Source organism: Homo sapiens, chromosome 2 (genome assembly GCF_000001405.40).
Source record: "Homo sapiens chromosome 2, GRCh38.p14 Primary Assembly".
NCBI classification, from domain to species: domain Eukaryota; kingdom Metazoa; phylum Chordata; class Mammalia; order Primates; family Hominidae; genus Homo; species Homo sapiens.
This window is the reverse complement of record NC_000002.12, coordinates 141,156,087-141,184,046: the sequence shown is the minus strand read 5'-3', so window position 1 is coordinate 141,184,046 and position 27,960 is coordinate 141,156,087. Positions and strand designations below refer to the sequence as shown.

General features: G+C 35.3%; 1 protein-coding gene and 1 pseudogene across 3 annotated transcripts in view, besides 1 other annotated feature; both read left to right on the top strand.

Moving 5' to 3' along the window:
- LRP1B (LDL receptor related protein 1B) overlaps positions 1-27,960 on the top strand; it is a 1,899,594-nt gene that overhangs the window by 946,970 nt on the left and 924,664 nt on the right. The window lies entirely within an intron of this gene.
- Positions 10,480-10,680: a silencer, noted in NCBI's record as "peak3887 fragment used in MPRA reporter construct". NCBI's record gives its function as "represses an SCP1 promoter by STARR-seq MPRAs in K562 erythroleukemia cells {active_cell/tissue: K562}" and the evidence as "EXISTENCE:reporter gene assay evidence [ECO:0000049][PMID:32103011]".
- On the top strand, positions 16,690-16,790 carry RNU6-904P (RNA, U6 small nuclear 904, pseudogene; annotated as a pseudogene).

Sequence of the window (27,960 nt, the reverse complement as noted above, 5' to 3'; positions counted from 1 at the left end):
TACAATTTTGTTCCTAAGCTGTGGCCCTCAGTTTTCTATTAAAGTAAAATCATCACACTATACTTGAGACAGAGTGCATTTCACTATGAGTGTGAACTTGTTGCAAAAGTATTCAACAAGAGGAGATAATTAATTCTAGGTGTGATAATTATTAGAATATTAGAGTAAAAGTAAATAGATATTTTAGTCAAGGTACCAAAGTTGGAGTTAAAATTTTGAGAAAATATATTTTGGGGAACTTGGGGTACCATTGATAAAACCCAGGTTCAAAAGAATTATGTGATTTGGCTAAATTGAGGGAGGGGGAAGATCTCCTATGTTAAGTAAAATAACAGAAATTAAATATTTTCCAAGGACAACATATACCCTTATTTCTGTGTGGGATGAATCTTTTGACTTGCAGACAGTGAATAGCAGAGTGATCTGTAGGATTTATTTGTGAACCCATCACCTCATGCCAATAATAAGGGAAAAGTGTGTTGTCTTTGTTCTGTACAAGAGCAGGCCATCTGCCAGGAGACAGGAGAGTGAAGCTCATCTCAAGTTAAATTCACACAAGAATGATTGACAGTATTGAAGAGTTTAAAAAACCCTTTCCCATCACCCACCTGTTGAAGCTAATAATGACTGAGAAATTAAAGATTGAATCAAAGTTAACAGCTATCGGGAGCAGGACTGACTAATGAAATTCTAATCTGGGTTGTTATGTGAAGTTGGGAAGATAGCAAATGAAGCGGGTTTGCCTACACACGTAAAAGGTTTTGTAATGAGATCTTTGGAGTAGTTAGCAGGTTTTCTACTTCTGTTAGGTGGCTCCCTGAGCAGGCACAGGTTCCAAGCTGATACTGTCACTAACTAATGCACTTGCAGTAGGACATAAGTGAAAATGTTACAGACATTTGGCTATTAAATGCCTCAGACTATGTTTGGACAAATTAAATACAGAGATTGCTCCCCCACCCCCAACCACTATGTATCACTTTGAGGACTGAGACGGTTCTAAAGCTGTAGGGGGTTTGAACATCATAAAACATTTAAACATACGACCCTTTGTACTTTTTTCTCCCCATAAATATACCCATCTTGGAAGGTAGGGTCCTCATCTGTGATTCATGACTGCCTTAAACTTTTAAAATGCTTATTTACATTTTGACAGGTTGCAAATTGTGAGTCCTAGCTTTTTAAGGATAAACAGCCCCCTACACATACCTACAACCAACTCCCCCCCGTAACAAAAGTTGATTTCCTAACTTCTTAACTACTTCCAACCAGCAATGTGACTTAGCTATCCACAATCAGATGCACATCCCCATTGTTCAAGGAAAGATATCTTTCTATAAACTTAGTTTCCCTCCAAATTTTCTTGTGTATTTCTTTTCTTTAGGAGGAAAATCAGAAAAATTAAGATATTCCAATAGCTCCAATAATCATTCTCCTGAGTTTATGTATTGAAATGTTGCAGCTTCTCTCCCAGGTATCTGGGACTTAAAGTTTCTTTGGAAAAAAAAAACTAATAAAATGAATTGGTAAAAGTGTATTTTGGTTTATCAGTGTATATTTGAAACAACCTAGGTTCTCACACAGAAGCAGTACTCAGATTAGCTGACCTCAGCATTCACCTGTAGGATGGAAAGTATCAAGGGGTTATTTGCCCACTTCTTTTAATCAGTGGGTATTGATGCAACATAATGACAACATCGCTAGGCTTATAAATTTGTATTAATTATTCTAAAACCTACCAATGCTTTTTTATCTATAGCCCACAGATTCAGTGGGTGGTATTATGTAACATTTTGTTTCTTTCATCTGTCTAGAGCCTATTAAATATCTAAATATTTTTTATGTATCCCAATTCCTTATTTGACTCTCCTACTATCTTTTTTTGGATGAGTAACACTTCTGGTGGTAGTTAAGTTCATGGAGAATTAAGTATGCAGCAGCTATCTGCCTATCTTAGACCAATTTACTAAGAGCCCCAAGAAAGTAATCCCTTGTCACTTCCCAAATTCAAGTTCCTTTCAGGATTTGCTGATGTGAATAGGCAAGACCACATGGGTGAGAAAGTATGTGTTTCCTGGTCTGCACTAATTTTGACTGAACTTAGCGGTTCAAAGGCTCATTCAAAGGTATAAATTCATGTCAGCTGTTTTATATAGGACTCACATTCTTCTCATTAATTAAATTTTTTGTTAAGGTTCAACTTCTTTCCAAATTCTTCTCTGGACCTTTCTTCAAGTGGCAGTTCATGCATAGTATTACTTTTGGTTAGTGTCTCTTTTAGTTATAAATTATATCTCTATTACAATGTGCTTAGCCTGGGAATACAACAGGGAAACTTGGAGTGGTTTATATGCAGTGAATACTTTAGTGGAAATGGAAGGCAAATTGATTTGACTCTCATTGCGCTCTTTGACTCATATTATTCATAAAGTCAACACAATGCAAAAACGTTCCACATTTCTACTTGCTCCCTTTGCCATTTTTTTGTTTCTTTCTTTTTTACTCTATAAATTTTCAAAGTCTGTTAAACCTCCCTCTCAATTACTGAGTGCACAACTCTGTTTCTAGTATTCAATGTCTTTCCCATCTTCTAGTCACTACCTATAAGGATTTCTTCTCTGAATTACCACTAGTTAATGCTGTCCACTCAAATAGGTAAAGTAACAGAAAAACAACTACATATAGTTCGGTTACTTTGGTAGATTAACAATATCATTGAGGACATGGGTTCCTTTTTTTCTATTTCTTTGCTCTGTAATGTGATCTTTAGTGTATTCTTTCCAGGATAATTCCTCTACGGTCATAAGGTATCTATTGAAGTTCCAGGGATCCTGTGTGGAAACATGATATTCAGTTGAAAAACAGTACTGTTTGTTAAGTGTACAAGAGCTCCCAAATCAGACATTCTCTCATATCTTCTTGGTCAGAACTGGAGTACATGCCCACCTAAATAAGACAACCACATGGAATTAGACAATTTTTACCATTAACAAATGAAAAACAGAGAGACATGAGCATGAAGTTGGGGCCAGGCTAATGTTAAGAAAGAAAAATCAGTTATGGTCTAACAACATCCATTACCACCACTGTCCCATGGCAGTCCTTTGTTATCTGCTACGCCTTATCTTTTCTTTGTTCTTCCCAGGCAGTGAAGGGTCTCTTTTCACTTAGATGAGCCTGCTCAAAATGTGAACAAATATTATTTGTTCCAAATCTCGTTCCCTCTTCTAAGAAATCTCCTCCATTTCCTTTTAGCCAAGGTTGTTTGAACTTCTGAGGAATATTTTTCTTATCTCTTTTCAAGAAAAATGATAGGGTTTTTGTTTTGTTTTTTGGGTTTTTTAATTTTTGGCAACATTTTATAAAATACTGATAAGAGGCTGGGGTGGGAGCATCCTGGATAACACACTCATATCCCTGTTTTTATTTGTAAAGACATAGTTTAGGAAACTGATAGCAGGTTTTATTCTGTTATATTCTCCAGCACTTTTGGAAGCTATATGAACATTTCCAAACCACTTGGGTAATATTCAGTAAGTTATTGTTTCACTTATAAAGTGAGTCTCAAGTGACCTTGAAAGCTTTCTTACTTTCTGCCAGAGAATAGCTTACATATTTGAAGTGTTTGTGCAAATAGCATAAAAGAATAATTTTATATTTTCAAGTAGTTTAAAATTATTTCTAGTTGTTTTTTTTTTTATGGAGTTCTATGAAAACAAGCAGATATGAGCCAGTAGTCCTGTATTTGAAAGGACTGTACATGGACAACATTCTTGTATCACTCAGGTTGTGATCAGGGCATCAAGGGTAAATAACATGAACTCTTGGAGTTATGTAAGAAATATTAAATATTGCAATGAGAAGATATGGTTATTCTAGTTTACAAAGAACCCAGAACATTCCAAACAACAAACAAAATGCTAAGCAGTGATTTATTCAAAATTCTGAGTTAAATAATGGATCAGGCACAAAATGTTATTTTCAAAAACTGGAAGAATCTTGGTTTGCAAACACCACAAAGAACAAAAATTAAAAACAATAAAAATACTTGACATTGTTCTGCTTATACATTACCACTCTGTAATATATAACATAAATTTGAGATTTTACTGTAGGCTATATAATCGCATTCAACCAAAAAAAAAAAAAAAAAAGGAAAAACCAACATTCAGCTTTTGTGTTGTTATGATTCATTCTGCTTGACTGCTGAGCCTTGCAGGATATTGAACCAAAATTGATATTTTTCCCTTGAGCCCCAGACTCTTAGTGGTTTGACTTGCAAGAATTTGGCCTGACTTTAGGATTAAGGGGATGTTTTCTGATGTAAGTTGGTTTCTTCTCCAGATGATAATGGTGGTCGTGGTGTTGGTGGTGGTGGTTGTTTTGTCATAGAAAAGGAAAAGGCAAATGTTGAAGGTATTTGGTCTTCTTTTGACTTTAGTGATATAATTGTCTTTGTAAGAATGGAGGTAAAAATTGTGCAGAGGTAAACCCATTAACTACAGATAAAATGTACCCCAGTGGAATGTTAAAATAATGCAGTGCCTTTTGGTAAAAACAAAACTATTTTTGCCATTGCGATTGATCTTCATAATGATTGAATATAGCCATGGTAATGTTGTCCACAACCAAACTAGGAAATCTTTATACTTCCTAAATCTGGCTTAGTGAGGAATAAAATGAGATTAAAAAGAAACATACAAAGAAAATATTCCTGCCTTCTGAAAGTTTTCAAGCTAGTTTTCCAAATGTAGCATTGGGAATCTAATTTCAACACATACCTAAATAATTAGTCTCATAAATTCAATCTGGGACCTGTCTAAAGTGTTTGGAGCTCTACAATGATCAAAAAGCCTCCAAATTGATAAGGTTTCTGATTCATTTTCTGCAAAAACAAAAATTTTCTGTTTTTTTAATTATTGTATTATTTAATTTGATAAAAGTTTCAAATATATCCATATAAATTTATTAATTGCATAAAACAATTATAATTTATACAGTCTACACACTAAGCTTTGCCTGAATATCAATAGAACAATCTTCTTATAACAACGGTATTTAGTAGGCTAATGATAGTTGCTTTTATAAAGTCTAGAATTTTGACTTAATACAATTAAATTATATTTAACATTCATACATGAGTCCAGCAAGAGTGTTATATGCTGATGGGCAGCTTTTCTCCTGCCTATCAAGGAGTTATTCAAGAATCAAGGTTCCTTTCATTTTATAGCTGTAGAATCTCATAGGGCCTTGGAATACTCTGCTCCCAACTAGCAGAAGGAGAAAAATACTGAAGATATATTGACATAACTGGATGCAAGTCAATGAGGAAAATTTGTCATCTGGTTAGGCAGTTCCTTGCCCATGACAGCATCATACTATGGAAGTGGAAGCATGCATTTCCAAGGAACAGTTGTTCATCTCTGCAAAATCTTCTCTTCTGGCTACCAAATATTTAAATATCTTTTCCCTCATACATAGGATATGCTACATTTAGGTCAAAATACAGGATCTCCAGCTGACTTGCAGTCCTCTCCATCATATCATTTTATAGTTCCTTTTGTACAGCAACCTAAGAACCAAAAGGCTCAAAGATATCTGAATCCACTGTCCTGTGTATCTAAACTATCAAAAGACTCTCATTTAGAAAGTGGAAGACTGGGAAACTCACAGTGGCCATTGGTCCAGAGCCAGGCAATGAAGGTGAAGACCTACTGCTCTGGCGATCGAGAAGTCACTTGTTAGCCTTATTTTTTTCTCTGTGAGATTCCCCGTTGTCTTTGTTCTCCTTAAGCTGTGCTTCCAATAGGAGGCTCTTTCTAGTCTGTTGTGCTCCACACTACACCTGAAGTTGGCAATGGGGAATATCCTGCCCCTGGGGCTCTGTGTATTTCATAAACTGTTTATTGCCTTTTCCGGTTTTAAGATATGAAGAGACAAAGATTCTGTAAGCTACACTCCTGGTTTTGTTTGCAAATTAGTAGAATTTTGATTTGTTTCCCATTACTTCTACATACCAATAACCATATTTAAAGTTATATTCTAGAAATAATGATCAAGCTCAATTTGTTTCTTTGCACTTCACTCCCTTGGCTTTCTCTTTCTACTTATTTATAGGTGGCTGCTTTGAGGTCATCTAAAACAATGTTTCAGAGTAAAACAAATACCTTTGTCTGAAGGCTAACTCTATTTAATTGAGAAGTCCTAATTGAACTTTTCTTGCTTAAACCATTTTCAATATTTTCTCTTACTGTTCAGGTATTAGAAGTATTAGAAAGTAGAAGTTTCTAATATTAGAAGTTCTAATATTGGAACTATTAGAAAAGTCTGAACCTGGGAGTCCCCAGTTTTGGACTTGTTCTTTTCACTTTCATTTTTTGCTTTAACCAGCCAATTCTTCCCTTCACTCATTTCTTTTGTAATATCTTGCCCAAGCAATCACATAGTAACTAATACAACTATTAATATTGTGCTTTTAAACTTATTTCTTTAAATCTGCAGGTTCAATACACATTTCTTTTTCCTTCCAAGATATTGCAAATGATATTATTTAACCAAAGATTTTTTAACCAAATATTTTAATGTTGATGAATATTTCCATTTTCCATTTATAGTTACCCAATTGCTTGCCACCTTACTATTAATGGAATGTTAGATGGTTTAGTTTTTTATTAAAGCGGTATTGTACTTGTGGTAGCAACTACAGCATTAGTTAAGGTAACACTAGCTTCCAGAAATTCTAGTGGATTGAAATATTTATTTTTTTCTACCTAAAATTAGAGCCCAATGCACATATTCCTCATTATCAGGCAGCTTTTCTCCAGGTAGTCATTGAGAGATGGAGCCTCCTTCCTTCTTGTGACTCCTATGTGTTTGATTTAAGAATTCTCTGATTTTGACCAGAGGTAAAAAGATGCCTGATTAAAACAAATAATAATAATTCAGCTCAGTGGTGCCATACATCAGTTCTGCTACATTTCAGTAGTTATATCTAGTCACTGAGTCATATATTGAGCCAAGAGACTAGAAAATGTGGTCTCTGTCTTACAAATAGCCAACCAATACACATTTTGGAAAAAGCAGAAGGAGGACATTAGTTTCTGATTGACAGATGTCTGTCTCTGTAACTGAAACCACTATGTAATTTTATTTTATTTTTTTGTAATAACATTAAATGAAGAACAGGTTAACATCTCAAAGGCCTCTATTTTAAAAGATATCTCAAATTGGGTGGAGTCATCTTTTTCAAAATCCTCTTTATAGTCAAAATTCAGTTTTATTATTTTACTTAGAGTGAGTCATTTTTATTAGATTCATTTTTTTTTTCTCTTGAGATACTTAGGAATCCAAATCATCTATTAAAAGTTTGTTTTGAAAACATAATCAGAGAAACAAGTTGTATTAATCTGTTCTCACACTACTATAAAGAACTATCTGAGTCTGGGTAATTTATGAAGAAAAGAGGTTTAATTGACTCACAGTTCTGCAGGCTTAACAGGAAGCTTGGCCTCAGGAAACTTACAATCATGGCAGTAGGCACAGGGGAAGGTCATCATGTGACCTTCTTCACATGGTGGTGAGAGAGAGACCAAGGGGAGAAAATGCCACACACTTTTAAACCATTAGATCTCATGAGAACTTACTCACTATCATGAGAACAGAAAAGGGGAAATCTTCCCTCATGATCCAGTCACCTCTCACCAGAACCCTCCTGTGCAATGTGGGGATTACAATGGGACATGAGATTTGGGTGGGGACACAGTCAAACCACCTCATTGCACCACTGCCCCTCCCAAATCTCATGTCATTCTCACATTTCAAAACCAATAATGCTTCCCACCAGTCTCCCAAAGTCTTAACTCATTCCAGCATTGACTCAAAAGTCCAAGTCCAAAGTCTTATCTGAGACAAGGAAAGTCCCTTCTGCTTATAAGCCTATAAAATAAAAACAAATTCGTTATATCCAAGATACAATGGAGGTACAGGCATTGGGTAAATGCCACCACTCCAAAAGAGAGAAATTGGCCAAAAACAATGGGGTTACAGGCCCCATACGAGTTAGAAACCCCACAGGGCAGTCACTTAATCCTAAAATTCTGAAATGATTTCCTTTGACTCCATGTCTTGCATCTAGGGCATGCTGATACAAGGGGTGGGCTCCTACAGCCTTGGGCAGCTCTGCCCTTGTGGCTCTTCATGGTACAGCCCCACAGTTGCTTTCATGGGTTGTTGTTGAATGCCTATGCCTTTTCCAGGTGCATGGTGCAAGCTGTTGGTAGATCTTCCATTCTGGCGTCTGGAGGATGGTGGTAATCTTCTCATAGCTCCACTAGGGAGTGCCCCAGTGGGGACTCTGTGTGGGAGCTCCAACCCCACATTCTCCCACTGCCCTGACCTAGTAGAGGTTCTCCATGAGGGCTCCAGTCCTGCAGCAGACTTCTGCCTGGACATCCAAACGTTTTCATACATCCACTGAAATCTAAGTGGAGGATCCCAAACTCTTGCCTTCTGTGAATGCAGGTTCAACACAACCTGGAAGCCACTGAAGCTTGGGGCTTGTACCCTCTGATGCAATGATGTGAACTTTACCTTTGCCCCTTTTAGCCACAGCTGGAGCTGGAGCAGCTGCTATGCAGGTCATCAAGTCCCAAGGCTGCATAGAGCAGCAGGGCTCTGGGTGGAACCACTTTTCTCTCATAGGCCTCAAGGCCTGTGGTGGGTTTTCTTCATTGTCTTGGTTATTAATATTCAGCTCCTCTTTACTTATGCAAAGTTTTGTAGCTGCCTTGCATTTCTCCCCAGAAAATGGATTTTTCTTTTCTATCACATGCCCAGGCTGTAAATTTTTCAAACTTCTATGTTCTGTTTCCCTTTTAAATATAAGTTCCATTTTCAGATCATCTCATTGTTCACACATACAAACTCACACTTTTAGAAACAGCCAGGTCACATCTTGAATGCTTTGCTGCTTAGAAATTTCTTCCACCAGATATCCTAAATCATCTCCCTCAAGTTTAAAGTTCCACAAATCTCCAGGGCAGGGCCAAAATGCTGCCAGTCTCTTTGCTAAAGAATAGCAAGAGTGATCTTTACTCTAGTTCCCAGTAAGTTCCTAATCTCAATCTAAAACCACCTCTGCCTGGGGTTCATTGTCCATTTTGTTATAAGCATTTTTCTTTCAAAACCATTCAATAAGTCTCTAGGAAGTTCCAGTCTTTCCCACATCTTCCTGTATTCCTCTGAGCCCTCTAAACTGTTTCAACCTCTGACTGTTACCCAGTTTCAAAGTTGCTTTCACATTTTCATATATCTTTGTAGCAGTGCCCCTGTACCAATATCCTAATGTTAGTCCACTCTCACACTGCTATGAGGAACTACCTAAGCCTGGATAATTGATAAAGCAAAGAGGTTTAATTGACTCATAGTTCCTCCGACTTAACAGAAGTCATGTCTGAGAGGCCTCAGGAAACTTACAATCATAGTAGAAGGTGAAGAGAAAGCAAGAACCTTCTTCACATGGTGGCAAGAGAGAAAAACGGGGAAAGTGTCATCAGATCTCATGAAAACTTACTTTCATGAGAATAACAAAGGAGAAATCTGCCCACATGATCCAATCACCTTCCACCAGGCCCCTCCCCTGACATGTAGGGATTGCAATTCCATGTGAGATTTGGGTGGAGACACAGAGCCAAACCATATCACAAGTAAATTATATGCTGTCCAAAGAGTGGAATAATAGGCAACTCTACCTTGGGGCAATTTCTGCAAATAATTTTTAGAACATAAGCCCTCTCTTCTCTGGATGGACTAGAAACACCATGAGGAAGTTCATTTTCAAATGATTATTCTTTTGTTTATGCTTCATAAGATCTTACTACCACCTCATTCCGTAGAATATCTTGTTTTCCAGATTTGGAGTCTTGGACTTTAAATACACATTAGCTTATCATTTATCTTTTTTTTTCTTTTGGAGCATACTCTGAATAAATGTAGTGCTTGCATAATATAAATCTGAGAGTGGAGGACAGAGAAGAGAAAGAAAAGTATTCTATCTCTAGATAGAATGCTATCTAAAATAAAAAGAAGGAGAAGTCAGTTGAAATAGTGTAAACATAGTATAATATAGTATATTTTAGAATACTTTGGACACTAACATGAATCTCATCTTTAACTGGCTTAAGAGGTAAGTAAATTTGTCTCACATAGCAGGAAGAACAGAGAAGAGCAAACTTAATTGCAGTCAAGATTGATTGAGTTGGTGCTTCAGTGACATCATCAGAGAGCCACATTTTTTTTCTGTTTTTCTGTTCTATCCTCAGCTACATCCTAATTATCTTACCCAACCTTATGACCCTTTTAATTCATGGTCATAAGATTCCTACCCACACCAAGTGAAGACAATTGTTTCCTTATTGACATGCAGGAGGAACAAGTGAGAAACTTAGCCCCACAATATAGACTATTAATCTATATCACTTAAGTCTGAAAGAGCTAAATAAGTTTGCTTTGTCATCCCTAGAGCACTGATAGTTGCTGAGGGAATGCCATGTGTAGCATGGGTTGGATTAATCAGAGTTCATCCCACAATCTGGAGGTGGGTTCCATTTCTCCTGAGTCATGTATGCTTTTGTTGTGGAGGGAAATAATGGCTATCTGAACATAGTCAAGTTTATGTTAGGAAAAATAGTTGGAAAAAGCAAAACTGAGATGGTTTATGTGAGGATGGAAGAGAAATGTATGGAATTAATGTCATGAAAATGTTTGCTGTGGGATGTGCACTGCTTGAGAACAAAATTACATTCTTCCTAATGGATATTTTGAGGTTTTTTATCAAAGCCCTGCAAATGCTAGATAAGAATGGTAATGGCAGTGATGATGATGATGACAAAGATGGCAGTGACAACTACATCAGTATCAGTGAAGGTGATGCTTACCTCAACAAAGCAGTAATTGAAGCTATGGATATAAAGTGTGTGGGTTTTTTTTTTTTTAATTTTAAAGCATACTACATTTAAAGAGAAATCTGTAATTTATTCCAGAGGGAATAATACTTTAGGAATCATTAGTCACATCCCAATAAATAAGACATAGGCTTGGATAATTGGAAATAAGGGAAATTTTAGTTAGAAAATAGAACTACTGGATGAAAGTTCTGCCTTCTTTAGATCCTCTTACTTTTTGGATCTGTGTATATTTCTGTTATTCAAAGGTAACTACTCACAGAGGATAAGGAGCATAATAGATAAATTCCAGGTTGCTTAGTAGAGAAAATCTATTTTAAGTCATTCCTGGTTTTATAATGTCTATTTTTCCACAGACTTATATATATATCAGATTCTATTTATCAGCCAATTGAATATTGCATGATTTAAAGAAAGATTTTGTGTATTTTACTACAATTAATTACATTAAGATAAAAATAGTGAATAAGCTGTTGATAGTGAATATCAACAGCTCATAAAACTTGTTCGGTAATCTATGGGATTGAAGGCTAAAGTATGATTGTGATTAAAAGCAAATTCTCTTTTTTCCCAAATGAAATAAGAATATTCATTTTAGTCAGTAAGATTATGAGTAAATATAAAGGATCACGGTTCCTTGCCTCAGATACCTGTAATTAATAGCATTTTTCATAACGTAACTGAGCTGCAGCATTTTCTGGAAAGTGGTCTTATTAAAGGTTTAAAATGGGAAGAACATTGCATTATGTCTTTGTCATAAGGATTATTCTGACGGTTCATGTTGTAGAAGTACACACAGGCCAGCTGAGACCATGTTATAATGCAATACTACATGGAGCATCCTGGCCTGCCTCCTGCCCTGGATGAACTGATGGTGAATACTTCCCATGAAGTGCATGGGAAGCTCATCTGTGCTTTGTGAACTATTTCATGATAAAAGTTATTTCATTGAGCATCTTCTCATATGTGATATCAAGTAACCTAGAACAGCTTTTCACGCTACCATCATTTATCTAAACACGAAGTGTTTTGTGTTTGGAGTAGTAGAGTCAATGAAATAGTTTTGCATTACCTATCTTTTTTCTTTTCACTTTGTGCTGCATCAGAATGTGAATTTATAGTTCTGATGGGGTCCATTTTCTTTAAGAGACAGCCAGAGAGAAAGGAGGAGAATAATCTGAAGAGCAATGTTACTGACTGTTTACTTTAGACCAATCATTATCCAGAGAATTTCTTCCACATTGATCCACGCAATCTTCACAGTGTTTCTTGTGAGGTATGGAGTAGTATCATTCCCTTTTAAAGATGAGGCTTGGAGAGGTGCAATTACCTACCCATGGTAAAAAAGCTAGTAAATGTTTCAGTCAGGATTCAGACTCAAGCCATGTCACTCCACAGCCTACACTCTTACGCTGCTACACCACAGCCACGATGAGTCGGCTTGAAGCTGGGAGGTTTTCTGATGAGATGTTTGGAAGTTTTGCAGTATTCCAGCATTCATCCAGAAGACTGTGTATCAGCCTGTGGTAAATGGCACTTGACAATATGCAAAGTGAGAATTTTATAACTTAACATGAGACAGCTCTAAGTTTGTATCAGCTCCATGAAGATGAATAGAAATGACACATAGAATTTGGTGCTGAAAAATTTAAAGGAACTAAATATATGACATTTTGGGACAGGGAAAACTACAGAGAAAGTAAAAACTTAGCAGTTACCAGGGACTGGGGTGGGGAAGAGGGAAGGGATGAATAGGTGGAGTACTGAGAATTTTTAGGGCACTGAAACTATTCTCTGTGATACTGCAATGATGTGTACATGTCCTATGCATTTATCAAAACCCACAGAACTATACAACACAAAGAGTGAAGCAATGTAATCTATGGACTTTAGTTAACAATAATGCATCAACATTGGTTCAGTAATTGTAACAAGTGTTAACACACCAAGGCAAGATTTTAATGATAGGAGAAACTGCCAGTGAGGAAGACAGGAGGTATATGGGAATTCCCTATATCATCTACTCAATTTCCCATAAACATAAAACTGCCATAAAAAATAAAGCCTACTAGTTTTATTTATTTATTTTTTAAGGAAGGGAAAAAAGAAACTGAGGGAGCACACGACTATAATTGTGGATCAATCAGGAAACAGATGACTAATTTCAGAATAAAACTATCTTTTCTGCTTTATAGTGACATCCAGAAATTCCACATTCTCACTCAGTTACAATCCAATTTCACAAATACATTTATTCTGCTCTCTGTGTAATCACTGAGCTATGAATTCTAGGTGAGCCTGTTTCTTTCTTGCCTCAGCCACTCCCTAAATAGAAAATGCAACACCTTTAGAAAGTAATCTTAACTCTTTAAGGCCACAGGGATATAATTCAAGGGTGTTTGAGTGGTTTCCCTGAATGCATACCTTAAAAGGATAGAAGAAAGAAGTCTCCCCATGCATTTCTTACCATTGTTGTAATGAAGGGTTTCTATTTTCCCATGCCTAGTCAGCCCTTGTTAATAAACTGGCATTTGAGAGGCATACTGACTCTCAATTTTTAATACAAAACAGCTTCTAATGGCTAAGTAAAAGGAAGTGGGTAAATATTGCCATTTCTTTCGGAGTGAAAAGTGGATTTATTTGCCTGCACTTTTTCTCACTACTGAAGTCACAGTGTAAGAAGGAAATAGTTTTAGAAAGTACCAGTATCCCCATAACCATGCTTTCTCCACAGAGCTAAAGTTCCGTGTGAGACCTTGCTAGCAACAAGACCAGAATGAGAGAAATCAAACAACGAGGGGATTATTAGAGAAAGTAGAGCCATGAGAGCCACGTTTTAGCCAAAAGTAAGGACTAGCTGACTCTCTCGCACAATACAAAATGCTTCTTCAGTTTTCATTTCTAGGACTGGTGGCTTGGTTGCCCCAAAAAGGACAGGTGTCTATTAAAAAGTGACTTATGTGAGTTTGTTATCATATCTATCATTTCCTGTCACTTCAGGATCATTGGGTTAACTTAGTCCTCATGCCTTTTTATAAGAACATAGGAGATTTTCAAAAGCACAATTATGGAAGAGAAGATTTAACCCCACACCATGAGATTACATTGCTGTATACAATGTGGCAGCTATGAGAGGATGTGGGCATATTTACAAACTGTATATTGGTACTTTATAATTAAGAATTTGCATAATTGGTAACAAAATCCTCATGAATAAGCTATCAATAACATCATGAGCAAAAGTAGCAGATTTTAATTCTATTCTTTTTTTTTTTTTTTTTTTTTGGTTAAGGTGTGGGAGGTGCACTGGAGAGAGCCATATCTTTTGCTTTGTATACCCGTTCTCATATCTTGTCTCCATTTCCATGTTTAAATCTTACTGACATTGGGCTGGTTGCTTCCAGTTGTCCATTTTGATACATTAAGTGATGAAGTCTCAAACTTTTGTTTTAACAAAGGACAGATTTTCTTCCCTACTACACGGGAACTTTAATTCTGTCGCTATTGCCCTCATAATTTCTGTATCTCATGTCACTGTATCGTGCAGTGCAGGATCCATGACAGACAGTGTAATTCTCCTCACTTCAATTACCTGTACCTGTCATGGAAAACATTCTGATATAAGTCATTGGTGGAATTTTGGGACACCTCTAGTAATTTTACATTAGGGGGATAACACAAAATTCCAAAACTTGTTGCTAATTGGAAGAAGTTTTTTCTTATTCCTTACATACGTCCCATCTCTTCTTTATTTATTTATTTATTTATTTATTTATTTATTTATTTATTTATTTATTTTTGAGACAGAGTCTTGCTTTGTCACCCAGGCTGGAATGCAATGGTATGATCTCGGCTCACTGCAACCTTCACCTCCCAGGTTCCAGTGATTGTCCTACCTCAGCCTCCCAAGTAGCTGGGACTATAGGGGCCCACCACTATACCCAGCTAATTTTTGTATTTTTTGTAGAGACAGGGTTTCACCATGTCGGTTGGGCTGGTCTCAAACTCCTGACCTCAGGTGATTCACCCACATTGGCCTCCCAAAATGCTGGGATTATAGGCCTGAGCCACCGCGCCTGGCCAGTCCCATCTCTTCTAACCAACTTTGCTCTTAGGAATAAATGTTTATGACAAAAAAAACACCCTTGAGTACCACATTTGTCCTTATTGCTTGCATTTACTCCATCTGCTGTGTTATTTTGTAAGCTCTTTGCTTGTATTATTGATCTAATCTTCACAAAAGCCTATGAGATAGGTATTTATTGTACCCATTTTACAGAACAGGAGACTGAAGTGGGGAAGAGTAAAGTACTTGCTACATGTCACACATTTCACCAAGTAAATGAGGTCAGGGTTTGAACCCAGAAAACCTCTCTCTAGGGTTCCTGATTAGAATTGTAGATTTCTGGACAGGAGCAATTTAATTAAAATAAAAATATACAAATGTAAGTTGCTATTTTGGAGCAAAACATCCTTGAAATTATTATTACTGTTGTTGTAATTATTTTTCTTTCATGGTCTTTTCTTTTTTGACAGACTGAATTGCAAAATTTTCTCTCTAAGTTTGTGGTTCAGGATTTTAAATTTCGGTAGTGATTGAGTGTGATTATTTAATAGTTTACTGTCTTGCACAGTGCAAGTAGTGACTGAGTGTGATTATTTAATAGTTTACTGTCTTGCACAGTGCACTTCACTGCTCTAAGTAACAGACTCATTTTCTCCCAAAACCTAGTTATAATAGACACCACTGCTTCACTTTCAGGCAGATGGAGAACAGTCCTGTTTAATGCACGTCATTTACAATAGATACAGGCTGTCAGAAAACTTCTGGTAAAATAGGATGCTGAATCAGACATTTATTTTTAATGGCAATTGCTGAAACATAGACTAGCCCACCCAGATGAAAATATGCCATATCACTTGACTTTATGGATAAAATGTGCTGAAGTAGTCTTTGTCATTTTCCATTTGAGATTTCTGTTTTAGTTTTCTTAATATACCCTGATTCCCATCGCTTCTGTTTTAGCAACTTGTTTGTTGTCTGAAAACTATTATACTATACTTTCCATTTTAATAGATACATCTTCATTTTTATTTCTATTATTTGTCAAGAATCATCTAGCACAGAGTAGTTGTATCAAAGTTATAGGCATGTACTCCAAAGCCAGCAGACCTAGATTTGAATCCCAGCATAGCCACTTATTGACTATATTGTAAATATATATTAATCACTGAAAACCAAGTTTTCTCACTTCATAATAGTTCTATCAATGGTCACTGTAAAAAGTCAAATGAATTAAAGCTTCTGAAATGATTATGATTTTAAGTACTATTAATTTTACTTCTCGAATATGAGACATCAAATAAACTATGATGAAAATCCCTGACATAAATAGATTTTTAAAAAGTAAAGATGAATTAACACCTAGATGATTATATTGTATATATTATAATCACCTGTAAATCACTTTTATGATATATATATCACCTATATGATTATACATTGGTCATATATAGATAGTACCTGTTAGGTTAGTTGATGACTATCTTATATTGATTAATAAGTACTTTAATACCACGCCTGGAAAGAAGAAATGAAGAACTTTTGTTATTATTTATTATGTGCAATTAATGAATATCTTCTCAATTCCTCTTTGGGTTAATCTATATAGACACGATTATTGGAAAATATAATGGGAACTATATTTGTATAAAATTAAAAATGTTAATTGCCACTTCAGCCACATATATACTAAAACTGGAATGATACAAAGAAGATTCTTCTGTCTCCTGCATAAAGATGATATTTGTGAGGCATCCCATACATTAAATATTTTTATTAAAATTGCATTTTATGTGTGTTTGAGCGTGAAATGATAAAACAAGTGTAGTAAAGAGTGGTAAAATGATATCAAATGAGGATTTTGATTGAGAGGTTTATGGGAGCTTTTTGTATTATATAACTTATATTTAAGACTGTAATAAAAGTTTAAAAGTTAATCAACTGTTAGAAAATAAAAAAATAAAAAATAAGTAACAACCAGTTTCCTAAGTAAACGTGTTTCAACTAGATTTCAGTGTGTACCTACAGAATTAGTGTTTCTGAAGTATAGAGGTTCCATGTTCTATGAATATATTATGTTATAATTGAATTTGCTAATACTCTGCACTGTTAGAAAAAATGTATTTCAGAAAAACAAAACATTTTTCTAAAATTGTTTTCCAGTTATTAAATCAAAAGAGTTTAATTGAGACATCTTATACAAATTATTAAAAGAATGCTATTTATCCTTTACTCTGTTGCAACCAGTAAATATTTTCATAGATGAAGACAACTGCACATACAAATTATGACAATGCTCTGTGAATATAAACAATATGTTATCGTCAAGAATGATAGAGTGGGGAGGGGGAAGTGGGGATGGTTAATGGGTATAAAAATATAGTTTAATAGAATGCATAGGATCTAGTATTTGATAGCACACCAGGGTGATTACAGTCAACAATGACTTATTGTATATTTTAAAATAACTAAGAGTATAAATGGAATGTTTGTAACATAAAGAAATGATAAATGCTTGAAGTGATGGATACCCCATTTACTCTGATATGATTGTTATGCATTATATGCCTATATCAAAATATCTCAAGTACCCCATTAAATATATACACCTATTATGCTCCTGTAAATATTAAAATGTAAAAAAAAAAAAAAAAAGAATGAGAGAGAAGATGTTAGTCAGAAAAAGCCTCACTGAGAAGAGGACATTTAAGATGTTATCTAAAGGAAAAGACAATAAAACGATGGGAAGGAAAGTGAGAACGTAGAGAGCAGAAGCATGGAGAGGGAGCAAGTCTGTCACCTTAAGGAAAGAGAGGGCATATCTGAGAAGCTGGAAGAACATTGGTATGGTTGGGTTAAACAGAGGAGTTTTTCAGGTAGATTTACAGTTTCGAAAGATAGAAAGGGGTGTTATGGTAAAACATAGCGTATGTGGGGTAAGGAAGCAAAAGTAGGAATGGAAATGGGGAGATTAGTGGGGAGCCTCTTTCAATAGTGTAGGATGGGTAGAGGTTGCTTGCACTAGGGTATTACCTGTGTAAATGGAAGGGACATCATTATAAGGAGCTTGTGAACATAAAAGGTATAGAAGAGATTTACTTTATTGGAAATAGCTATGGCTTAAGACTTGAACTGGAAACATTCTAATAGCTACAATAGCGCATTTCACATTTAAGAAAATATTGCAACCTTGTTATAGCTAGCATTGAGTTAACCAGGATTTCCAACTAAAATAATTGTATATTTTTCATTGAGTATGAATTTAATCATACATATTCATACACTAAAAATTACACAGAACTTTTAATTGCTTGTTTTCCTCTTTGCTATTGTTATTCCAATTTCCTTAATGGTTCAATTATACTTTAACTGATTAGTAACACAATTTCATATTATATGGTTGAGAATGATGATAAGGATGAGGATGATGATGCATTCCCTAAATGAGCAGAATAATAAGTGAATAATTCACTTGTAAATTATTGATATCATGAGCTTTTAAGAGACAAATATAAATCTAATAAATGATGTAAAATTATTAGCTAATTTAGCTTGCAATCCTGATATGCCATGGGGATTGGTAACCTTATTGTATTTGTAATACATATGGTTATTTAATGATTGCTATTAATATTTCACCTCTAAAGAGTTTACAGATATATCCAATAAATAAATAAACAAAAATAAGACAGTTGGTAAACTAGAAGTGCAACCTAGTATATTGGGAAGGGCCTGGACTGTGTCAAAAAATTTGGCTTTCAGTTCTGTGGTTGAGTAACTTTGGTTAATTCTTGGCTGATGATTTCTGAAGTTTCTTTCAACTCCCCGATTTTGTGATTATTTTTGAAACATACTGGCAACTAGAGCTCTCTGGCTACTTTTAATCTAGGTGTTTATGTTCATTTCACAGTCTCTCTGCCTAATGACATTTGTTTTAAACGAGAGCTATCTATCAATGAAGATATTTCATTGCCTATTACTGTTTTTAGGCTTTATTGAGAAGCTGGATTCTTAAGATGGAAAAGTCAAAGGCAGTTTGGCAAGCTAGAGAGAGGAATAAGATGATTAAAAACCTGGCCATTAAGACAGTTGGTGAAACATAAATTAAAAAATAAGGGTTAGTAACTTTAGTAGTTAGGTAGGAAAACATAGAAGAAATTTTCAATCAGCAGAGGAATTCTGGACCAGCTGCTACTATATTTCTGATTGCCTTACCCCTTCTTAGAATGACTCTGTATCTTCTAAATTTTAGAGTTTATTTTCTGTCCAATGGAACTATGGGGGATTTAAAACTGCTTCCCCACATTTGGATTTCAGCAGGATCTGTTTGTTACTATCACAGATAGAAATATCACCCCAAAACAGACATCATCATAAAGACTACAGAGAAAAAGAATGGAATTTGTGTTAGAGTACTTTGGGTTGAATCTAATTTGATACCCTGCTAGTTGTTTTATGAAACTGTAAGAAAAATCACTTCTCTAACATTCAAAAGCAGCATTTGTAAAATGTAAGCAATTTTATCTATTCATTTATTCTCCTTATGAAGTCATGAGAATTATAGACAGTAACATATGAAATTGCTTTGTTATTTAAGGAATGTTATGCATATGTTTGCTAGTTTTTTATTCATCAGTTTAGGCTATTTAGTGTGACCATTGATGGACATTGATGAAAATTGGGGAATTCCTTTACCAATGTTAGTCAACTTTTTATTACCGTAGAGTCAAATAATGATTAAGTTGTATCCCTATACCTGACACTAATTAAGAAAAAAAAATTCCACAGAACGCTTAGTTCTTACGGCTCTTCAATAGATTATTTATTATGGGATCATTAATTTCTTTGAAAGATTTTGACTTGCTTCTCTCTAACTTTCATTTCCACCTCTGCTTCTTTGTAGAGCAATAATTATCTTACCCATATTTAAATTCTCTGTCATCCAATTTATGTAACAACCAGAATTGAATTCAATATTTTATTAATACAATGTAAGTTAATGCTTTTCAAAGTCTTATTTTGTTTATTAGGTCTAATGTAATTTACCCACAGAAATAGTAATATAATGTCAAATTTTGAAGGTCTTAAAGAATATATCCAAATATTTAACATTAAATAGGTCCGAGGTATAGTTTACCCATGCAGGATATAAATTTTGGATTGATACCTGTATTAGTTCATTTTCATGCTGCAGATAAAAATATACCTGAGACTGGGTGATTTATAAAGAAAAAGAGGCTTAGTGGACTCACAGTTCACATGGCTGGGGAGGCCTCACAACTATGGCAGAAGGCACATCTTACATGGCAGCAGACGAGAGAATGCGAGCCAAATAAAAGGGGAAACCCTTTATAAAATCAGATCTCATGAGATATATTCACTACCATAAGAACAGTATGGGAGAACCACCCCCATGATTCAGTATCTCCCACCAAGTCCCTCCCACAACACATGGGAATTATGGGAGCTACAATTCAAGATGAGATTTGGGTGAGGACACAGCCAAACCCTATCAGTACCAGACCAAGATTGTAATCCTGACTTTTTCCGGGCATCTTCCTTATGCAATCCAGTGTAAATTCCCAAATTATCATATGTCTAAATGATCATCAGTCAGTAGAATCATCTTGTACTGTAAAATGACGTTATTGCCATTAACTCAAATTATATCTTATAGTGTAAACCCTTTATTTAGTTCTTGGAAATATATGCAATTGTTTGACAGAAAAAAAGTTTATAAATATATACCCCAAGCATATTTGTTGTGAATGAGCTGTTTCCTTTGTTTTAAATTAGGTAGTTTCCAAAAGAAGAGCTTGAGAAAACTACTTGTGTTTAGGTAGTCTATTTGTGTGGTAATACCAGAAAGCAGGAATGAGGGATGAAGAGGAGCAAAGGAAGAAGGAAAAGTAGTATTACTGAGGCAACTGTACTAAACTTAGGCTTGATTCTCCCTGGAACTTTCTGAGCATAAAGGATGCTTGTCACAGTGATGTATCTGTGGATTGACGATGACAAACCTCTTTCCTCCATTGGTTGAGAAGTGCCTTGATAGATTAATGTCTTGGCTTCTTCTGCATGTCTGATGAACAAGATTTAGTTTGCTCAAAGTGAGATACTATAAGCATCTGGAAAATCAAAACCCATATTTAACTGTCCACCACAGATTCTACATGAATTAAGTGCCAAGAGGATGCATGGAGGGATATTATATACATTGTTAATATATTTTGTGAACTTCACTGATAAACTATCTATGAAAGCACTGTTTACAAAACATCTAGATGCCAATATTATTGTTTTTATTCCTATATTTTCAATTTCCAATTTGGAAAGCCAGAATATAATTAAACTGAAGTCTCTTTAGTTATTTTGTGTTTATATCAAACACTGGGAAAACTTGGAGATTTTATCCTATTTGCAAGCTAACTTCCTTGCCTGCCAGAGTTTCCTAGATCTTGGAAGAAGATATGATACACTTGGGTCAAAGATAGAGTACTTTATGACTCATAGTACCGCAGGCAGTATGAGATGCAGGCTCACATTGGTTCCCTTGTTTTCAGACATCATTGAAAAGATAAACAGCAGCACCAGGTTGTTTGCATTCTGGAGGAAGACTCCAGGGACTGTTCTAAAAGACAAAAGATCGTGAATACTCCTTTCGTCCCCATACCTTCCAGGGTAATGTTACCCCTCCTTCAAATTCTGGATTTTTGCTTTCGTTCCACCTCCACAAAATCTGGGGTAGCTATAACTTTATTCCTGCTCTGCAATGACACATCCAGACCTTTTGTCTGAAAGAGTCAGATATAAGAGAGACAAAAGCATATTTATAAAATATTTCATAAACATTTTAAGTTGTAATCCTCTCATCCTCATTCTGGACCAGTGGCAACCTGGGGATTAGACTGGCCTGAGGTTACTGTTATAAGGGAGAGACATAATATGCCTAGGAACAGAAAGGAATCTTGAAATTTCAAAGTAAGTCTATATAATTCCATATAATCTTCACACCCCTTTCATCTGAGATTTCATCCTATTTTTAAGCCAAGTTGTCAGGGTTTTGTAGTCTGTTAGGACAGAGACAAATGGCTTCTTTCATCGAAGCATACAGCTCCCAGCAAGAACTTATCATATATGCAAATCACTTCCCCCTGCTCTCATATCCCAAGGGACAACGTAGGGGTAGACACAGGTGGGTGCTGTGCATATAGTGAGCTTGTGTCATAGCTGAGCATCCTGAGTTTAAGAATCACCCATCTCCTAATGCCACAGTTAGCAACAAGCACAACTTTGCCCTAAAGGGAAGCATTATCTTTATTATTCTGGTTGGACAATAAATCTGCCTTCTGCTCTGAAGGGAGAAATTATCTCTATCTTCCCAAGCTATTTGCTATACAACAATCCTTGAAAAGATAGTACAAAACGCAAGTTGCCAATGCCTTTGCTTTACAAAGGTGTGGAAGTGTGAGACCCAATAGAGAATTGTCTCACAATATTTCATTTATTTTGGTGATAGAATTCTAGTCTTTTCGTCAAAAATGACTTCATTATTTCTGATATTATCTATCCCTTCCTGTCAGCTCTTTTAAAATAATGTAGCCTCAGATTAACCTACAAATAAAGTATTAATTGTGCAAGAAATTGAAGATGGATATTTGACAAATTTACTTTTTGCTCATCGTTTTTTGTTTGTGTGTCATGTCTTCCCAGAAAGACTGTTCACTGCTGTAGTAACTAGGAAAATGAGCCTTCTGTATACTATGAGCAGTACTGAAAGGATCCCATGTTTGTTTCATGAGGTATATGTAAAAACGGTTAACAGTTAAATTGGAAAATAAAAGTAATGGAGAAAACTTTTTAAAAAATTTTGCACTAATTTTCTTCTATTTTAGATGATGGATAGAAGAAAGAAAATCTCCTATTTTATTGTACTTAATCCGTTTATTTGGAAATATTTAGGATTTCTCAAAAGTTGCAAAATTAATAGAAAGTTCCTCTTGTACCACTCATTCTGCTTTCCCTAATGATAACATTTTACAAAGCCATAGTAAATTATTAAAACGAGGAAATTTTTATTGGCTCAATACTCTTAATTGTAACCACTATTCAGATTCACATGCACCCTTTTTTGGTATATAGCCCTTTGGAACCTTATTTTATATATATATATATAGATTAATTTTGCCATCACCAAAATAAAGATATTGAACATGTCCATTACCACAAAAAAATTCTCATATTTCCCGTTAGAGTCATACTTTCCCAAGACTCTAACTTCTGGCAACTGCTGATCTGTTCTTTTTCACTGTATTTTTTTACTTTAAGAGTATTTAATAAGTATAGTTTTATGGTTAAAAACTTTTTGAAATTGGCTTTTTTTTTCCAAGTCAGCATAAGGCCCGTGAGATCCATTCACATTTTTGTGTACATCAGTGGTGTATTCCTTTTTATTGCTGAGTAGTATCCCACTGTGGGGCTGTACCAGATGATATTTATTCCTTCACCTCTAGAAGAAAATTTCGATCATTTTTAGTTGGGGCTGTTACAAACCTGCTATGAAAATCTGTCTATAGGTTTTTGTGTGTGAGCATAAATTTTAATTTTTCTAGGATAAATACCTAGGAGTGTGATTGTTGTAACTATGGTAAATTCATGTTTAACTTTATTTTAAAATGACCAACTTTATGAGTGAGGCTGTACAGTTTCACCAGCAATATATGAGAGATCTAGTTGTTCAGACATATTCTCCAGCACTTGACATTGTCAGTAATTTTTACTTTAGCAATTCAAATAGGCACATAGTAGAATGTTATTATAGTTTTAATTTTCATGTCCCAATGGCTAACAATGTTAAACCTCATGTGCTTATATTGCCATGTATTTTTAAAATTCTTTATTTCTTCTAAAAAAAAATAAGAAATGGGATACATGTGCAGAACATGCAGGTTTGTTACACAGGTATACTGATGGTGGTTTGCTGCACCTATTGACCTGCCCTCTAAGTTCTCTCCCCTCACCTCCCACCCCTCAACAGGCCCTGGTGTGTGTTGTTACCCTCTCTGTGTCCATGTGTTCTCAATGTTCAGTTCCCACTTATAAGTGAGAACATGCAGTGTTTGGTTTTCTGTTCCTGTGTTAGTTTGCTGAGGATGATGGCTTCCAGGTTCATCCATGTCCCTGCGAAGGACATGATCTCATTCCTTTTTATTATTGCCATATATTTTTAACTAAATTTGTTTTGTTCTAGCAAAATGCTAAAATGTTGAACAATACATCTTTTGCCTTCTTGATTTCCTGTCATTTTCAGAGGCTATGTTTAGTTTTGTCATTTTATGAAGAACTTGTACTTTTTAAGCATGTTAATAGCCCCAAAAAGTGATGATAACAAAAGGCAACACTTAATTTTTCCAATTGTCTTTCGATTAATTACCTTTGCTTTTTAAGAATTACCCTCGGATCTCTCATGTGTCTCATCAACTACGGCCCTGAGCTGGGTGCAGTTGTGTGCACCTGTAGTCCCAGATACTCAGGAGGCTAAGGCAGGAAGATTGCTTGAGCCCAGGGCTTCACGTCCAGCCTGGGCAACATAGTGAGACCCCATCTCTAAAAACAAACAAACAAAAAAACAAAAATAAAAACTTATTAATGACTTTCCTGATTTAAATTGCTTTAGTATCAATTAATGAGCATATACTGCCCTAATTAAATTATTTTCCTTCCAATTCTTTCCTCCTCCAGGCTAATCAACTGTAAAATTATGTTAGACATTTACAAAAAGTAAATGAAGAAGATCACTCTGAGTTTACTAACATGAGATTTTGCTAAGGTGATATGTGAGAAATATGTTGTTTTATAACGACTAATCTAAATGTGATACATATTTAGGCACCTTCTGTGGAAGAGAGATAACTTCATACATTTTGTCTTTTATTCATTTCCTTTTCTTTCCTTCACTTAGTGAAGACTACTAAGCACTGATTTTATTATAAAGCACTGTGAAGAATACCAATATGTAGAATAGTTGTATACTTCTAGAATCTTATGACGAACATGGAGTGAAAACTGGCTATAAGAAGTAATTTAAAATAAACAGCAACCACTCTGGACTATAAAAACTCCAGATTGATGCTTCCAGCTGAGTTACAGTTCACCAATTTAGGTCTTGATTTTGTTGTTGTTGTTATTTTATAATCTCTAAATGAGGAGCTGGCACTCAAAATTATCTGTATTCAATGCTACTTGTAATGTTCTCCGAGACTGGAAATCAGAGGAATATTCTTACAGTTTGCAGACAGAAGGATTCCGACTGTGCAAAGAGGCCTAAAGGGAAATGTATACTGTAGCTGCTTAGTACTACATCTAAGAAAAAAGAAAAGAGATATAACTTACACCACGACATTGGATTACCTTTGTATATACTTAAAAGAGGCTCAGAATAAGTGATATCTTAGTGTCTCAAGATGGGCCACAGAGAGAACAAAATTGAAAAGACAAGTATCTTGGAGTGAGGTGAGCATAGACTCAGGAGAGACCTGGTTGGTGCCAGTAGTGCTGCTTTCTATCACAAGCTTTCTCTGCTTCACTGATTTGTCTATAAAAGAACAAATTTCACCTTTTCTATGCACTTAAAAAATGAGACATAAGGACACTGAATAATTGCTAAATGGCATAATTTATATATTTTGCTTTTTATTATATGATTTGAGTTCAGCTGCTCTTGACTTCAAATTACACAGTGCTGCACTGAAATTCCATAATTATTTAAGAGATAAAAGGATTGCCTTGTTTAATAGCAGCGGGGTAAAGAAACATACATGATAAAAGAGGCTTAATTCAACTGGTTAAAAAGAGAAAAAAATATATTAATGTGATTTATGTGATTTCAGTCATTTAATGATTATATTCAAACTGCAATCCTTCCTATATTCAGTGAGAAGATCTGATTTCCAGTATTTCAAACACTTGACAGAACTAGCCATAAATAAACACATTAAAAAACCTTTTAATAGATAAACTGATTGATTAGTTATGACAACTGGTGTATTTGTAGATACACTAAACAAGCAAAATACATGCACATATTAGAGCAACATTTTTTGTGCAGACTTCAATAACTATTATGGTTGCTGAACTCTGCCTAACCAATCACAATCACAAATTACACCAATGAGGGTTTTAAAGGTAAAATAGCTTAGTGATTTTTGTTAACTCATTCTTAAGTTCATGGAAAAAGTTCCTACATAAGCTTTTACCTATATTCTTTTCTCAGCGATGTTAAACAAATGATAACTAGACTGTCTATTGAATAGTAAACTTTTTTACAGCACAATTTTTGTGTAATTAATGACGAGAATATGCACAAAGATTTGTCAGCTCCCTGTTGACTAAGATCCTATCCATGATAGGATATTACTATTTGAATGAATCGAACTGTAGGAAAATCTACATGTTTATGTCATTTAAATTTTTTATATTGTACGAAACAATATAAAAATGATAGATGGGCCATTGTTTCATTTCTGACTCTGCAGATACTATGCATGTGACTTTGGTTCTTCTTTCTGCCATCTGTTTTGTTTTCTCAACCCTGAAGAAGAAAGCAAGACTGTTCTTCTCCAAAGTGCCTTTTAGCTTAAATATTCATGTTTTCTATATATACTATGTAAATATCACAATTTGGAAAATACGTATATTTTATATATATGAAGTAATAATGAAACTTTATTTTATCATCCAGAAAAACCTGTTCATATGTTATTAATATCTATCACATGGATTTATATGGAAGCATTTATAAAGTCACATAAACTTTTATATTCCTATGTTTTATAAAACTTGAGAGCAAATAAAAATTGATATCCTGTTACACATACTTTTTATATCCATATTTTTTATAAATTTAAAAGCAAATGATAGGTGACATAAAACATCTTCGTTTTTTTAATAGATACATAATACAATAACCTATCCAATGAAGTTTGATAATATAACTATCTTTCCATTTGCAGATATCTCTGAAGGGTAGAAGTTGAGATCTAGAACAAGAGTCCTCTGGGCTAAAGGAATGGTGTTCTGCTGAGTATTCTGAAATTTTTACCACCCCAAAATTATAACTAATGTTGGGGTTTTTCTAGCAAACATTAATTCATTGTGACTCTGCTTTAAGATTTTGCCATTACTTTACTTTGTTTCCAGACTTTGACTTTTTAAACAGGAAATAAAAATTACCCTCAAGATTCAAATTCCTACATTGCACATATGCCATTGGGTTTCCTATGCTCATTCTTGCTTTTATATATATCTATGAGAGAACTCTCTCTCAGCATGTAACATGCCATTTCTACACTCCTATTTCCTGCTCAGAGTTGAAGTTTGTGAATTGATTTTTTTTTTTTTTCTGAGATAGCCCTGTCGCCCGGGATGGAGTGCAATGATGTGATCTCGGCTCACGGCAACCCCCACCTCCCAGGTTCAAGCAGTTCTCCTGCCTCAGCCTCCCAAGTAGCTGGGATTACAGGCACCCACCACCATGCCTGTCTAAGTTTTTGAATTTTTTGTAGAGATGGGTTTTCACCGTGTTGGCCAGGCTGGTCTTGAACTCCTGACTTCAGGTGATCCACCTGTCTCAGCCTCCCTGTGTTGAGATTACAGGCAAGAGCTAATGCGCCTGGCCAGTGAATTGATTTGGGAGGGAATGTATTGACAGAACAGGGAGGACTGACACTTGAGAGGGATCGGCACACTAAGTGCTTCAAAATCCAGCTCCTATACCTTGAAGAGCCTACTTCTTGGTTTTCTGTTGGCATAGACCCTGGGTTACTGAGCCAGGAGGCAGTTAGGTAGAGAGAGAGAATATGTGTTTACCCTTTTTCTATGGTTAGTGCTTTTGTTTTAGTTCTGGTGAGATATGTAGGTTAGTCCATTGTGTTTCTC